The 14923-nt window shown below is 41.4% G+C and overlaps 1 protein-coding gene across 17 annotated transcripts in view, besides 4 other annotated features; it reads left to right on the plus strand.

Annotated features, from left to right (window-relative positions):
- Nucleotides 8298–8387: an enhancer, noted in NCBI's record as "active region_20986". NCBI's record gives its function as "activates an Ori minimal core promoter by ATAC-STARR-seq in GM12878 lymphoblastoid cells {active_cell/tissue: GM12878}" and the evidence as "EXISTENCE:reporter gene assay evidence [ECO:0000049][PMID:35858748]".
- Nucleotides 8538–8887: a silencer, noted in NCBI's record as "silent region_15002". NCBI's record gives its function as "represses an Ori minimal core promoter by ATAC-STARR-seq in GM12878 lymphoblastoid cells {active_cell/tissue: GM12878}" and the evidence as "EXISTENCE:reporter gene assay evidence [ECO:0000049][PMID:35858748]".
- Nucleotides 8951–14923, plus strand: part of IL1RAP (interleukin 1 receptor accessory protein) — a 145666-nt gene continuing 139693 nt past the window's right edge. For all 17 annotated transcript variants that reach the window (NR_157352.2, NR_157353.2, NM_001167931.2 and 14 more), the window contains exon 1: nucleotides 8951–9085. The gene's annotated coding sequence lies outside the window, so the exon portion shown is untranslated. The remainder of the gene's footprint in view (nucleotides 9086–14923) is intronic.
- Nucleotides 9140–9641: an enhancer, noted in NCBI's record as "H3K4me1 hESC enhancer chr3:190232063-190232564 (GRCh37/hg19 assembly coordinates)". NCBI's record gives its function as "activates a minimal SCP1, AML or CMV promoter by ChIP-STARR-seq in primed H9 embryonic stem cells {active_cell/tissue: H9 hESC(primed)}" and the evidence as "EXISTENCE:reporter gene assay evidence [ECO:0000049][PMID:30033119]".
- Nucleotides 9642–10141: an enhancer, noted in NCBI's record as "H3K4me1 hESC enhancer chr3:190232565-190233064 (GRCh37/hg19 assembly coordinates)". NCBI's record gives its function as "activates a minimal SCP1, AML or CMV promoter by ChIP-STARR-seq in primed H9 embryonic stem cells {active_cell/tissue: H9 hESC(primed)}" and the evidence as "EXISTENCE:reporter gene assay evidence [ECO:0000049][PMID:30033119]".

The raw sequence follows: 14923 nt of genomic DNA on the forward strand, positions 1-14923 counted from the left end.
GTTAAAAGGCATCAAGCTCTACATATATGATTAGTGCAGTTTTATGTATTCATGTTACACCTCAATAAAATGTTGATTTAATATAATAAAAAATAATAATAACATAGCACTGCCTTACTTTGTCATTTAGAACAAGGCAGAGAGTGGCAAGTAATTACAAGAAATTATACCTGACAACCACGTCAAATAATTTAATGTTGTCACACTTTAAAATCCAGTTTTCTGAATTCCTAGCTCTGCAATGTTGGGCAAGCCATATTACCTTCTGGAGCCTCAGATTTTTCTATATCTCCTAAATAGAAAAAATAAATACTCAGTTCATGAAGATCCTATGGTGTGATAACATAATATTGGTTAAACAAAAAGCACAGACTTAAAAAGCACCTGTCTCTCAGCAGAAATCAGTAACTCATTTATTTGTTCTCATTTGTTTGTTCAAGCATTCTTTCTGTCAAACACCATTCTGGAACACAAAGGCAAATAGATAAGCTACAGTTTTGCTTTTTGAGTAGCATAAGTAATATCTTCCCTCACCCCACCCCTTTTCTTCCGATGCCTGATTCAAGTATAGTTTTCTAACCATTTCTTCCAACATCTGCCACATGTTCTCTGGTTAGAGTAGGAAAATTGACCCTGCTTCACTCTTCCCTCCTCTCAGTGGTGTGTGAAACACCTTCCAATGGGCTTACATGGAGTACCATACCATCTTTCATAAAGCACTCACCACATTATTCTGCAGTTATTTTATTTTTATAACAAATAGTACCTGAGTGGATGAATGGATGCATACTCTTCCCCTGCCCCATTACGTCTCACACCTTCCTCCTTGGTCACCATAAACCTTAATTCGATCTCTCCTTCTAATTTCTTCTAGTGATACCCTCTCTCTTTCTTTCCTTGATACGCTCTAAATAGAAGTACTCCTTCTGGCCGGGCGTGGTGGCTCACAGCTGTAATCCCAGCACTTTGGGAGGCCGAGTTGGACAAATCACCTGAGGTCAGGAGTTAGAGACCAGCCTGGCCAACATGGTGAACCCCGTCTCTCCTAAAAATACAAAATTAGCCAGGCATGATGGCAGGCACCTGTAATCCCACCTACTAGGGAGGCTGAAGAAGGAGGATTGCTTGAACCCAGGAGGTGGAGGTTGCAGTGAGCCGAGATCACGGCATTCCACTCCAGCCTGGGCGACAGAGCAAGACTCCCTCAAAAAAAAGAATACTCCTTCCTCAATACCCCGATGTTACTATATTTTAACTTTCTTACTGACCTTAGTGTAGCATAGGAAAAGTATGGCCTTTAGACTCTGTTAGACCTGGGATTTGCTCCTGGCTTTAACATTAACTAGTGGTGTGGCCTTAGATAAATCAGCTTCTCTGACTCCATTTTCTCATTGCTAAAAGTAGAGAAACAATTTCTACTTTTTAAGGATATTGTGAGGTTTAGAAGTAATTGATGTTTAAAGGGCTTGTCACATGCTCAATGCCAATTGCTCAATGAAGAGGAAATATTATTTCAACCTTGTATTGACAACCATGTAGACATTTTATCTTCTTCTCTTCTCTCCTCTTCTGGCCTATAATGAAGGAACCGTGGCTACTGTATCTCAGCAATGCTCACACTGTCCATGTAGAGCAAATGTTCAACACGTTTGAAAAGATGTATGAATAAAAGATAAAATAAATTTCTCAATGTTGGTGGCAGAGAAAGAATATCATACAAAGTCTCTGCATCTCATATGAGTACTTGAAAATTATTCTCCAAAGGTGAATAATATAAGTGCCTCTCTGCTAGTGGATCATTCAGTCTTCCTGTTGCTGCACAAAAAAAATAGAACTGAATGGCACAGTTCACTCATCCTGCTGTGAGAACAAGCACATATTAGCACAATTTTAACTGGCACCAATTGGCTGTTATTCACCAGATTGTGACCAATTTAGATTAGGTCTGCCCTTAAATACTGTAGTGGTTTAGCTTATGGAATAATACAGGTGATAGTATCTCTATGAAGAACATTCTTTCCATTTAGATCAGATGTTGGAGGCTAGAAGCTGATAAATGTCTTAACTACTTACAAGGCCAAGTTAGAACCATAAAGGCAAGTTTCCCTTTTTGCATGCAAAGTTCTTGCCTTTGAATTTCCTGATGTAGTAAAGTGTCAATAATGCATAATAACCATCCTCCAAGACTTTATTAAAATCCTGACCTTTGCTTCAAAGCTTCTGTTTGGAAGAAGAAAAACGAGGAAAGAAAAGTAGGTCCTTTCTAACAGCCTCCAGGAGCTTTAGGCCATAGGCCAGGAAGACAGGCTGTCTTTTGGAAAACATGCCTTTGCCTGTCACCTTCACTGATATTGCCCTGTGGTGGCACTGGAGGAGCATCACCAGGAAGTCAGACATTAAAGGAGAAGCAACTCAGACAATAGGATTCTGATTCTGCTACTACAAGTATCTACTGACCTCTGAGAACTGCAGAACTCTCAGAACATATTAACTTTTTTTTTTTTTGAGACGGAGTCTGGCTCTGTCGCCCAGGCTGGAGTGCAGTGGCGCGATCTAGGCTCACTGCAAGCTCCGCCTCCCGGGTTCACGCCATTCTCCTGCCTCAGCCTCCCGAGTAGCTGGGACTACAGTCGCCCGCCACCACGCCCGGCTAATTTTTTGTATTTTTAGTAGAGACGGGGTTTCACGGTGTTAGCCAGGAAGAACATATTAACTTTATCCAAAGCCCTGCACTAAATGATTTGACCAAACTCTAGCATAGCTTCTAGCAGCATGAGGTCATGTCCCTAGGACGACCCCAGCTCCATATTAAAACGCCTGCTTGAGAAAGCTCAACTCTCCCAGGAGGTTGCTGTTTGCTCTAGCCAATACCTGATTATAGGCTCTTGACCTCCTCTTCTTAGAGAATCAACTTAGAAATGCTTACTTTTGTGAATGCTTATATTTTACAACTCAGTAGTGTCTCTCTCAGGGACCTGTGCACCATTCCTTTAAATGTAATAACCAGGAAAGATGGGGCCTCTGTCTCCCAATCTCTGTGGGAGAATAGAATTCTAACTTCAATAAGTGTCAGGCAGCAGTCACAGTTAGCACAGCTAGTCATTTGCACTGATCAAACCCTTAGTAATATTTCACTTCTCAGGCTCTACTGAGATCCTGCTCTGCTACCTCCCTCATTCTCCATTTAAAAGGCCAAACAACCTCTACACAAATAGGAATGAAGCTCAGCTGTTTCCTCTGCTATCAATAGTTACTAAATAAAATCTGTTTTCATGGCTTTAACTAACGTCAGGCAGTGTTTCTCTTTGACACCTCCACGTGGGAGTAGTGCCCTGTGATGGGAGTCAGCTTCAACCCTATGCAGATAAATAGAGATTGGAAGGGTTCCAGAAGTTCCCCTTTCCCCTCTTGTCTTTCAGGACTGCATGTAACCCAGGTAGTGAGTCTGAAGGATAGAAATGAGTGAAGCTGGCTAGGCGCGGTGGCTCACGCCTGTAATCCCAGCACTTTGAGAGGCCGAGGTGGGTGGATCACCTGATGTCAGGAATTCGAGACCAGCCTGGCCAACATGGTGAAACCTCATCTCTACTAAAAATAGAAAAATTAGCTGGGAGTGGTGGTGGGCACCTGTAGTCCCAGGTACTCTGGAGGCTGAGGGAGGAGAATCACTTGAACCTGGGAAGCGCAGGTTGCAGTGAGCCAAGATCACACCACTGCACTCTAGCCTGGGCGACAGAGCGAGACTCAGTCTAAAAAAAAACAAAAAAGGAAAAGAAAAGAAATGAGTGAAGCCTCCCACTGCACAGTCAAATTTCCAATTTCCTCTTCCAAACGACTTGAATTTCAATAGTTGGGTATATGTGTTTGAACAAATTAGCATATCTCTTCAACAAGGTAGAGTTGAGCTCTTAGTAATCAACACCTTATCATTACTGTTTAATCTGCTTATTTCCCTACACCTAGCCGAATCAAACTGAAGGAAGAGAGGCTTTTGTCAGAAACAGATGCAATAAAAAGGAAGAGGGATACCTGACTTGGAAACCCAGGGCACCACAGAGGAAGTGGGGGCAGGCATAACTAAGTGCTGCGAGGGGAAATGTGAACACCCAGAGAACAGGTACAAGGGTCAGCTGGGGATGGAGGAGAAAAGAGCTGAGGGGTATAAAAGGTGGAAACGTAAAAGGGTTTGGAAGGTGATATAATTACTTTTTCCTTTTTTCACTTTTTTTTTCTTTTCTCTTGGCTCCTGCCCTTCACCTTCCTTCCAAAAGCTCAAAATAAAATGTCTCTATAATGTGCTTTCTTTACTCTGTACCCAGCCAAATATATACACATATATATACGTGTATATATATATACGTATATATATGTATATATATTAAACATATATACGTATATATATAGACACACACACACACACACACATATATATATATATAATTTGTTGTTTTAGTTTTTGTCTTCCAATGATTCTGATCTCCCAAAAAAATGTAAATCAAAGGAAGAGGGCGATATATAAGTCACTTAATATCTTTGTATCAAAGTTTAACCATGAGAGTTTTGGACTGAATTGTAACTCAACAAATGTTTATTCAATGAGTACTACGTGCAAAATATTGTCTGTTTGCCAGGGAAACATTATATTACCCTCCCGGAGTTAGCATTCTAGTGAAAACAGCATTCAATAAGTAAATTAATTAAAATGTTACGTAATGTATTATTTGACTTGGTTGTCAGGAAAAGCTTTGCTGGGAAGGTTATAGTGGAGCAGGGACATTAATGAAGATGTGAGTAAGAGGAGAGAACAAGCAACAGGGGAACAGCGGTCCAGCAAGGGGGAACAGCAGGTGCAAACACCCTAGTATGGGAACATGTTAGTGTGTTTGGTCGACAGCAAGGAGCATGCTATGGGAGATTGAAAGAAGCAACTCAGTGCTGGATCATGTAGGGCCACACAAGGACTTTTAGGCCATAAATGACTATGGAAATTTATCTGATCATGATAAGAAATCACTATTTGAAAGCAGAGAATGACATATTTCTTGTAAAAGAATAATGAATATTTATATTGCATTTCTACATGCCAATCCCCATGCCAAGTGTTTTACTTATATAATCTCATTTAATTTAAAAACAGCACTATAATGTATATTATTGTCATTGTTATTCATATTTTTCAGAGAATAAAACTGTGAAAAAAAGAAATTAAGTAACTTGACCACATTATGTAAACTTGATCCCAGGTAGTCGGGCTTCAGATTCCTTGACCTCAATCACTAGCCTGTATTTATTCTATTTTCATTTATAAGGGTCTCTGAAGTAAGGGCAATAGACTCTTTGGGTAAGAGTTTAAGCAGGGACACCAGTGAGGGGAGAGATGGCAATGACTTGAACCATGGTGGTTGTGATGGAGAAGAGGAATAGCGTGGTTGGATTTGAGATGTGTTTTGAATGTAGAGGAAGCAGAAGGTTTGTGGATATAATGTGTACAGGCAATGAGAGAGAGTGATAACTCCAACTTTTTGACCTGAGCAACTGGGTAAAAGACAGTGTTGCTTACAAAGCTCTGGTTTGGTGTGGGGCAGAAATAAAGTTTGAATTTGAACATGTAAAGTTTGAGATGTATTTAAAACATCCAAGAAGGAGATATGAAGGAGGTAATATGGTATACAAAGTCTGGTTTGGGCTTTAGATTTAGATTTGCAAGTTATTATCATATTGATATTTTAGAAGGCCATGTGTCTGTCTGAGTTCCCCTAGGTAGAGAATATAACCACTTCAAGGATTGAGCTCTAGGACACTGGAACCTTCAGAGATCATGAAGAGGTAGAGGATTCAATAAGAATCTGATAAGGAACAGCAGATGAAATACATGAAAAACAAAGAGTCAAGTACGAGAGAGTGTGAAAGAGCAACAGATTATCTGTGTCTAATGCTGCTGATACATGTACAATGAAGACAGAGAATTGATCACCACATTTGGCAAAGTGAAGATCATTACAGATGCTGACTGTGGAGTGGTAGAGATAAATGTCTGAATGGATTGGGTTCAAGAGACTAGCAAACTCCTGATGCGTCTTACAGCTACAGCAAGATAATTAAAGATAACCTAAAAAAAAGGTGGAGGGTAAAAGCTGGGAGAAGAAGAGAATAATAATACCTTTCCAAATACATCAATCAATTGCAAAATATTTTATTGTGCATCTTCTATACATCCAGCAGTATTAGTCACTGACATCAATGAATTTGTAGCTTCATTTATTCATTTAGGCAACTATTATTCATCAAATGTTTAGTATGTGATGGATATTTAATGGGTATAGCTTTAAAATATTTTTCTCAATTGTTAGCATAACATTTTTTCATTTTTAATTATTACGGGTACATAATAGGTGTATATATGTATGGGTGACATGTGATGTTTTGATACATGCATACAATGTGTAATAATCACATCAGGGTAATGACAACAGGGTGTCATCACCTTGACCATTTGTCACTTCTTTGAGGAACATTCCAATTTCACTCTTACTTATTTTAAAATGCATAATTAATTATTGTTGACTGTAGTCACTCTGTTGTGCTATCAAGTGCTGGGTCTTATACATTCCAGCTAATTATATTTTTGCAACCGTTAACCATCCTCCCTTCCCCACAACTCCCTTGCCTCTGCTACTCTTCCCAGCCTCTGGTAACCATCATTCTACTCTCATATCTCAGTTCCTTTGTTTAATTTTTAGCTCCCACGTGTGAGTGAGAATTTGCAAAATTTGTCTTTCTGTGCTTGGTTTATTTCACTTAAATGTAAAAGGAAAAAGAGATGTTTCTATTTCTGTAATCCTAACATATCAACATTTTTTCACATTCCTTTCAATTGGTGTTCATCTCTCCACAACTTTTACTCAACCTTATTTTGTAAGCCTTTTTCTTTGTAGACATATTTCCATAATATGATAGTTATGATGCAAATATTTTATTCTGTGCGTAGACAGCGTTGGTTAACTAATCATTTTCATTTCCAACCATTTATATTGTGTTCAAACTACAATATACTATGAATATTTGTCTATATGATTATTCATCTTAATGTTATCTTCCTTAAGCTATGAGTAGCCCTTCAATGTCCGGGAATATACATCTGGTTCAATTCTGAATTACTAGCATCTGTTTGGCTTCTAGGTAGTACATGAGACTGAGTAGCGGCTGAGAGCATGAACGTCGAGTGTCTCTAGTCTCATTTTGTATTCTCCACTTGTAGGCCTGTAGCCTTGGTCAAGTTATTTAAATTCCCTTTATCTCCTTTATGAACTGGAGATAATAATAGCACCCTCCAGGTTGTATTGAGGGTTACCTGAATTAATATACACAAAGTCCTTATGATTGCACCTTTTTATTTTGTAAGCACTGTGTAAATGCTTCAGTGTACTATATATATATAAAAGTCTGTGCCCAGAATATATTTAAGGAATGAATAATAAATCAGAAAATGTTTTATTGTTGCTTCATACAGGTAACATTTTAAATTCTTTTGGATTATTTTCTCTTTGGTTCAGTGACAATGTTGTGAGCAGGTGCTGGGTCCCAGGTATCCTGAGATAAATAAAAATTTTGAGCAATTAATTTTCATAAGTGATGTCAAGAAGTAAAGTATCATGAACATTTCTATGGCTCCAATTACACTGATATTTCACCTTAGGAACTGAAGCTCCGCCAGGGCAGGGGCAGCCTCTGAGTTTCGTACTGCTGTGCACCTTTAGCAGCACGGGCACCTGCTGGTTTCATTTCCTTCCCACTCACCTGGGCCCTTTTCTTATTTCACATCTTTTTTCTCCTTTTCCTTAAATGCTTTCTCTGAATCTTGATTCTTGAAAATAAATTAGTAGGATTCAGTTAGGTAGGAGGAGGAGAAAAGAAGATGTGATGAGCAAGAAGATGTGCGAAGACTCGTCAGTCTGGTAGGTGGCTTTGGTTAGGGGGTTTCAGAAATGGGGACAGGTCATGAAGGGCCTTGCCAGTCAGGAAAAATCATGAGGCACTAGCAGTAGGAACACAGCAGAAGGTGCCTGAACAAGAGAGATGACTTAATGAAAGCCTTTATAACGCTTCCCGGGATATATTACAGACTACCATCTACAGTGGCAGAGGGCAGCTGAAGGAAGGCTCTTGCAAAAACTTGGGGAAATGGAAATGAATGAAGGCAAATATTTGTTTTGAGATTATTTCCTTCTATGTAACCTATTAGTTCTTTTATTCGTTCCCCATACATGTATTGAGTGCCTACTTTGTGCCAGGCACTGTGCTAGGCAATGGGTATATTACCAGTGGACAATACAGATTTAGTCTTGCTGTCATGTCCTGTTGCTTGCTCATATGAATGTCAGTTCAAGACAGCAAGAGCTCAGGACTGCGGAGATCGCATCTACATCCTGCCGCGCTCTGTGCCGGCACAGGGTGGTTGCGAAAATCGTGCAGTCTGAATTGATTCAAGGCCTTGCAGCATGATTGCTAAATACGTCGAGACAGGAAGAAAGGGCAGGGTGGCACCGATCTCAACTGCGAGAGCACGATCTTGCAATGAGCGCATGTGTGCGCCTCGGTGTGTAGTGAGGGGCGTAGCTTCCCACAGCGCCTGGCAGCGTGCCGAGCTGCGCTGCAGGACTAACCCTCTCCTTTCCCCGCGCGCTCAAGCCCGCACAGGCGGTGGCAGGGAGCCGAAGGGGCCGAGCGCAGCCTTGCATCCGTCCGCAGGCGGGCCCGGCGCCGCGCCTCCTGGCGGCGGGCGGGACCGTCCAGGACGCCGCCCCGCGGCCGCAGCTCCTGGAAGCCCAGAGCGCCGGTGGATCGCGAGCCAAGGCGGCGGGTGGAGCCTGAGCCGTGAGGCCGTGGCCAATCGCGCCGCTCCGGGGGAGGAGCCCCAAAGGGGGAAAAGAAAGTGCGGCGGAAAGTAAGAGGCTCACTGGGGAAGACTGCCGGGATCCAGGTCTCCGGGGTCCGCTTTGGCCAGAGGCGCGGAAGGAAGCAGTGCCCGGCGACACTGCACCCATCCCGGCTGCTTTTGCTGCGCCCTCTCAGCTTCCCAAGAAAGGTGAGTCTCGCGCCGCCGTGAGGGCTCAGAAGTCACCAAGCCGCAGAATCTCAGGGTAGACGGATTCTTAGAGATCCTATCGTTAAACCCTCCTACTTTACAGAAGAGGAAACTGAGGCACAGAACGAGGCAGCGGCTGGGATAGGTCATACTGCTAGTTAGGACTGGAGCCCGGATTCGAACCCAAACGTTCAGAGACCCATCTTTGCTTTGCAGGGATTTAAGTAACGCGGTTGTGGGACGTCTGCTCGTTGCCGCCCCCATCCTCAGCCCTTTGAGGGGTCTACCCTTGTTTTCCTCCTCACCGCCCCCTCCCCGCTACCACCCCCCGCCCCCATCTCCTCCTTGGTTTCTCCAGACCGCTGCTGGAAGCGCCGAGGACAGAAGGAAGCGGTGTGTCCCAGCACGCCCACTCGGTATCACGTCGCTCTCAGCGCAGAGCTGTGACAGCCTGGGAAAATGCTGCTTGCAGCCTCACTCCCTCTTCCCCTGACCTGCTTTCTCAGAAAGATGCCCCTTCAGAGGGTGTCGGACCAGCTTCTGGAGGAGCGCGGGGAGAGAGGAGCGAGGCCCGGGCGCCAGTGACCTCCTATGGTACTGTTTCTTCCCAGCCCCGGAGGAAGCGGAGCTAGTGGCCCTGTGGGGCACAGGGTGCCCCTCACTTGGGAAGAGCTGACTTCATGGAACCATAGAGCCCCTTCCCTCTTCTAAATACTGAGAGGGAGCAAGGAAGCTGAGTTAAAGAGAAAATCACAAACATAAAAGCAAACTTCGGCTGTTTCCTTTAAGAGCTAGCCCACAGCCTGTCTTCCCTCCACCTTCTGGTTGTGAAATTGTGAACCAGGGCGCCACGCGAAGCATTCTGCTGCTCTGCTGTACAGATCCCTGGTTTAGCTACTGGATGAGAAAGAGGACTTGAGTTTTGACTCCAGCTCTTCCATGTATTAGCAGTGTGAACTTGGGCAAGTTATCTCACCTTTCCGATACTGGGTTTTTCTTTTCTTTCTTTCTTCCTTTTTTTTTTTTCCAGCCAAAAAATGGAGATTTATAATGGTCACAATGAGCCCTTTGGGTAGTTGGAAGGATGAAATGGGATCATTCAAGTAGCATGTTTAGCACAGTGCCTGGCCTGGCATCTGGTTGGTTCAAAACCAATGGCAACTATTGTAAATATTGTTACATAGTAACCTTGCAGACAGTGGGTTTTCAGAAAGGTGATTTCATACCATCTTACAGAGGCATTTTAAAAAAATCTGTAAATGTGGTGTCTTTCTTCTTTTGAATTTGAGCAACTCTTTTATAATAAGAATTTTCTGAATGTTGTCCATATGTGATGTGGATCATGGATGCTTAGCTCGAAATGTAAAATTGATGTTTCTCGGTGATATGAATTTCCTACTAGTTTTTAGGTCAAACCTCAGGCCTGTGAACTGCCCTGATCTGAGACATCCTTTATTGACAAAGAGGGTCTTGAAATGGGTGAGAGGCAGAAAGACAAGAAGACAAAGTTGGAAGTTGCAGCTGTGTTACAGATTATTCTAAGCCTTCTATCCTTGCTCTCTTAGGTCAGTCGAGCAACCTTACATTTTTCATCTAGTATCAGAAAACAAACAAAATTCTCATATATTTCTTTTGGATTGTACAGAGATGCTGCTAAATGCAAACCTTTCTGGACACAAACTTGCCTTATTTAAACACGAACACACAGACATTCACATGCCCACACTAGTCTTCCTGTATTATTGGTATTTTAAAGTTAAATGGATTCCCTCCCACACCCTTAACCCTTCTCATGACAATTGATTTTATTCTGATGAACTTCATGCAATAATTTACTACTATCTACTGGCTTTGCCATGCGTCCTTAAATTGAGTGTCCAGCATTTGTAGTTGGCTGCCTCCTTCACAGGCCATAGCATTTGTATGCAGTATTGGTAAGTGCTTGAGAACAGAGTGTGATACATCTTGATGGAAGATAAGAGCCCAGTGGTGCCCACTTAAGTACCTCCCGCACCAAGCATTAGTAAAGGATGGGATCACCTGCTTCTATCAGCTTGTTCCATGTACATGCATTGTGGTGAGCTGGCTGGGATATGACTGAATGTGTGCCTGAGAGACAGGGGCCTTGTGGGGGAAAAGGAAAATGTTCAAAATAAGGTCAGATCATGAGGATGGAAGGGAGATTAAAAGCTAATTCCTTTGGTTCTGATTCTTCAAAGAAAGGTTGGTCAATTATACCCATATCTTCATACAGATTATTACTTGTTACCAAAACCATATATATGTATAGAACTTTAAAATTTCCAAAGTGCATTCTGTATATATGATACTCCTTGTTACTCACAATAGCCCTGGGAGGACATGGCAAGAATATTAATAGAGGAAGGAGCCCAGGTTTTGTGGTCAGACCTACTTGATTTCAAATTCCAGCTCTCATGCCTGAGTAGTTGGGTGATATTGAGCAGTTTATTTAATCATTTGAAGTTTCTGTTTTATCCAGTTCTAAAATGGAAAAAAAAAATGCTTACTTTAAAAATCTGTATAACGAATAAATTCAATAGAATAATGTCAAGTACATGTAGTGAATAGGTGCTCATTAAATGATATCTCTTCTTAGCTAGTCTCAATTTATTTAGAACATAACTGGAATGAGACTCAGAGAAATGAAAAGTTGCTAGAGGTCATGTGTTAGTATGTTTCAACTCTGGGAATACAGTTCACACCTTTTCATGTCTAGTTTAGGGCATTTCCCATCACACTCTGTTTCCTCGCCAATGAGATATTTAACAATTTACTTCAGTTATAAAGTTGACCTTATTTGTCTGGTTATTTCAGGATATCCTTTTTGTTGAAAAGCAGGTATTTTCTTGCAAAGAGAACAATCCTTAAGCACAGTTCTGTAGAGTTTAGTGGAGCCAACTGTCATAAGAGGGTATTTAAAGCAATGGTCTCTAAGACAACCTTCCTACTCTCCTGTGTTGGATGTAATACACCTTTGATTCCTAAGAGAAAGGGTACTAACTAAGAAGACATAAAGTACAGAATTATATCACTCTTTTCTTCCTGTTGTGAGTGGTTTCTTCCCTCTGCCATCCTCATGCTAGTTCAAAGGCTGGGAAGAAGATTGAACAACAAATGTTATGAGTGTCCATGGCATTATTCAACTTTTTTTTTTGACAATTTTGTGGGTACTGAGTAGAGTAGACAGAATAATGTGCAAAGGTGGCATTTGCAGAAAGAGACCACTGCTTCCTGGTGGTGCTGATTACTTGTCTGGAGTTTCACTCCTCCTTGTGGAAAGTGATGGCTGGAGGCTCATGTTGGAAGATGAAGGGATCTGTTTCTGGCCCAGGCAGTGGGGCTGTTCATCTGCTGAGACTTCTCATAGGCCATTAGATTTCTCTTCTTTGTAGCAAGCACACAGGCTTGCAAACGCAGATGTAGAAGGAACATTTTGCTCCTTGCTTTTGGCATTTTGGAGCATATGTTTGCTCCTATAGGTAAGCAGTTAGCATCATCTTACCTGGCACGGTTAGGAAAGCAGAATGTGGCTTGAGGAAATCAGAGGACGTAGAAAAAAACAAAGATTATCTCCAGCCTATACACAGCTTCATTTGTTGCTCAACTTCATCAGGCTTTTGCTGGTGACACAGATGTAGGATCTGGTGAGTCACTGTTGCCTTGCCCATGAAATATTAAAGAGAGCCACCTACTGTGCTCTTTGCCCATTTTGGAAATTGTTCTGCATGGAAAAAAAAGAAGAAGAAAAGAAAAAAGAAACACCAAAGAATAGGAAGGTTACAGAACATTTGGTAAGTGATATTTCGGTGGATAAATTCAGGTTAGCCATTCATTTGCTGCCTTTTTTTTTTTTTTAAATGATAATGCATGGTTTACACTGATAGGGTTGTTAGGAGACATCCCTTTGGTCTGACTTTATTCTAACTCTCTGTAGCAGCTGTGGTAGTGTGGATTTTGAGAGTCTGGCTGAAATCTGAGGCAAGTTATTCTATAGAGATGATCTTTTGGCTCTGCAGCTAGGAAATAGGGACACTGATGCCTGCTTAGAAGCTTAAGTCCCTATTTATTTCAACATCTTATTCATAGAAAACATTTAATAAACACTGATTCTGTCCTCTGCTAACAACTCCTTCAATGTATTAGTCTGTTAAATTACGATCATCATAATTTAACAGGTACTCTTTACTTGTCTCCATCATTATTTGTGCTGAGTATCTTAAATATATCATCTCATTCAATCCTCACAATAATCCTGTATATTTTTTTAGGAAACCGAGGCTCATAGAGTTACGTAGCATGGCCTATGTATTAGTCTGTGTTCATGCTGCTGATAAAGACAGACCCAAGACTGGGCAGTTTGCAAAAGAAAGAGGTTCATTGGACTTATAGTTCCACATGGCTGGGGAGGCCTGACAATCATGGCGGAAGTCAAGGAGGAGCAAGTCACATCTTACGTGGATGGCAGCAGGCCAAAAAAGAGAACTTGTGCAGAGAAACTCTCATTTTGAAAACTATCTGATCTTGTGAGACCCATTCACTATCACGAGAATAGCATGGGACAGACCTACCCCACATGATTCAATCATCTCCCACTGGGTCCCTCCCACAACATGTGGGAATTATGGGAGCTACAAGATGAGATTTGGGTGGGGACACAGAGCCAAACCATATCAGCCTGTGTAACAGCACAAAGCAAGACATGATGCTGAGACTCATCTACGCATTTTATTCTAGAGTTAGGAAGAACTTCCAATTGTCCCACCTCTGGACTAGAACTGAGGACTTAGACTAAGACCAATGACCTACCCAATCATCATCCTACATCCTCATCCCGGTACTACCTTGCCTGTGACTGAGAAATATCTTTACCTTTGGACCTAAAATGTGGGAGAGCTGAACTAGATGATCTCTAAATTTCTTCTGCTATAACGCATTGTGTATCTTTAAGATTCCTTTCAACTTTGAGATTCTGTAATCACATCTATTTGCAAAAGTTAAAGCTAAAATGGAGAAAGGGGAGTAAAAAGAAAATACTCTTATTGTTTTATTCCCTGGAGATGTATTTTTCTGAACAAACAAAGATGAGCAAGAGAAATCAGCATTTCATCGGCACATGTACTTTTGTCATTTCATTTAAACATAAAAATAACTCTCAGATATATATTATTATTTGCCTTTTACAAATGAAAGAACTGAGGCTCAGAGAGACTTATAGACTTGCCCAAGGTTTCCTAATTAGTAAAGATTGGAACCTGCGTGTGCCTGAGTGCAAAGCCTTTTGGTCCACTACAGCATATTTACTAGATACCACACCATGAAATTTGGAAACTCATATAACCAGATTCGTAAATGCCCCATCTCTGTATCCTCACATCACACTACCTCAGCTTCTGTCTTCTCCTCTTCTTCTACTCTTTCCTTTCCAAACATACTGCTCCAATCCTTTCTTGATTCTCTCCAGCTCACAAAACCCCTTTTAAATGCATATAACATCTTCTATCTCTATTGTTATTATTATTATTTTTTTTACTGTGGTCCTGGAATTTGTAATTTGTGCTTTTGTTTTTGTTCATCCCCATTGGGCACAGGACAGAATAAGCTATGCCATCAGCTGAGAGACTTACAAATGTCTCTATCTAATCTGTGTGTCAATCATCTTTCTATCTAGCTCTATTTATTAGTGAAATTAAAGAAAGATAGAGCATATTAAGCCCCTGGCTCTTAATAGTTGGCACCTAGAAGGGACTTGGTAAATATTCATTCCTTCCTCATCATTCAGCACTGCTGTTTACCCAAATCATTACTCATTTAATGAAT

This window comes from Homo sapiens, chromosome 3 (assembly GCF_000001405.40).
Source record: "Homo sapiens chromosome 3, GRCh38.p14 Primary Assembly".
NCBI classification, from domain to species: Eukaryota; Metazoa; Chordata; class Mammalia; order Primates; family Hominidae; genus Homo; species Homo sapiens.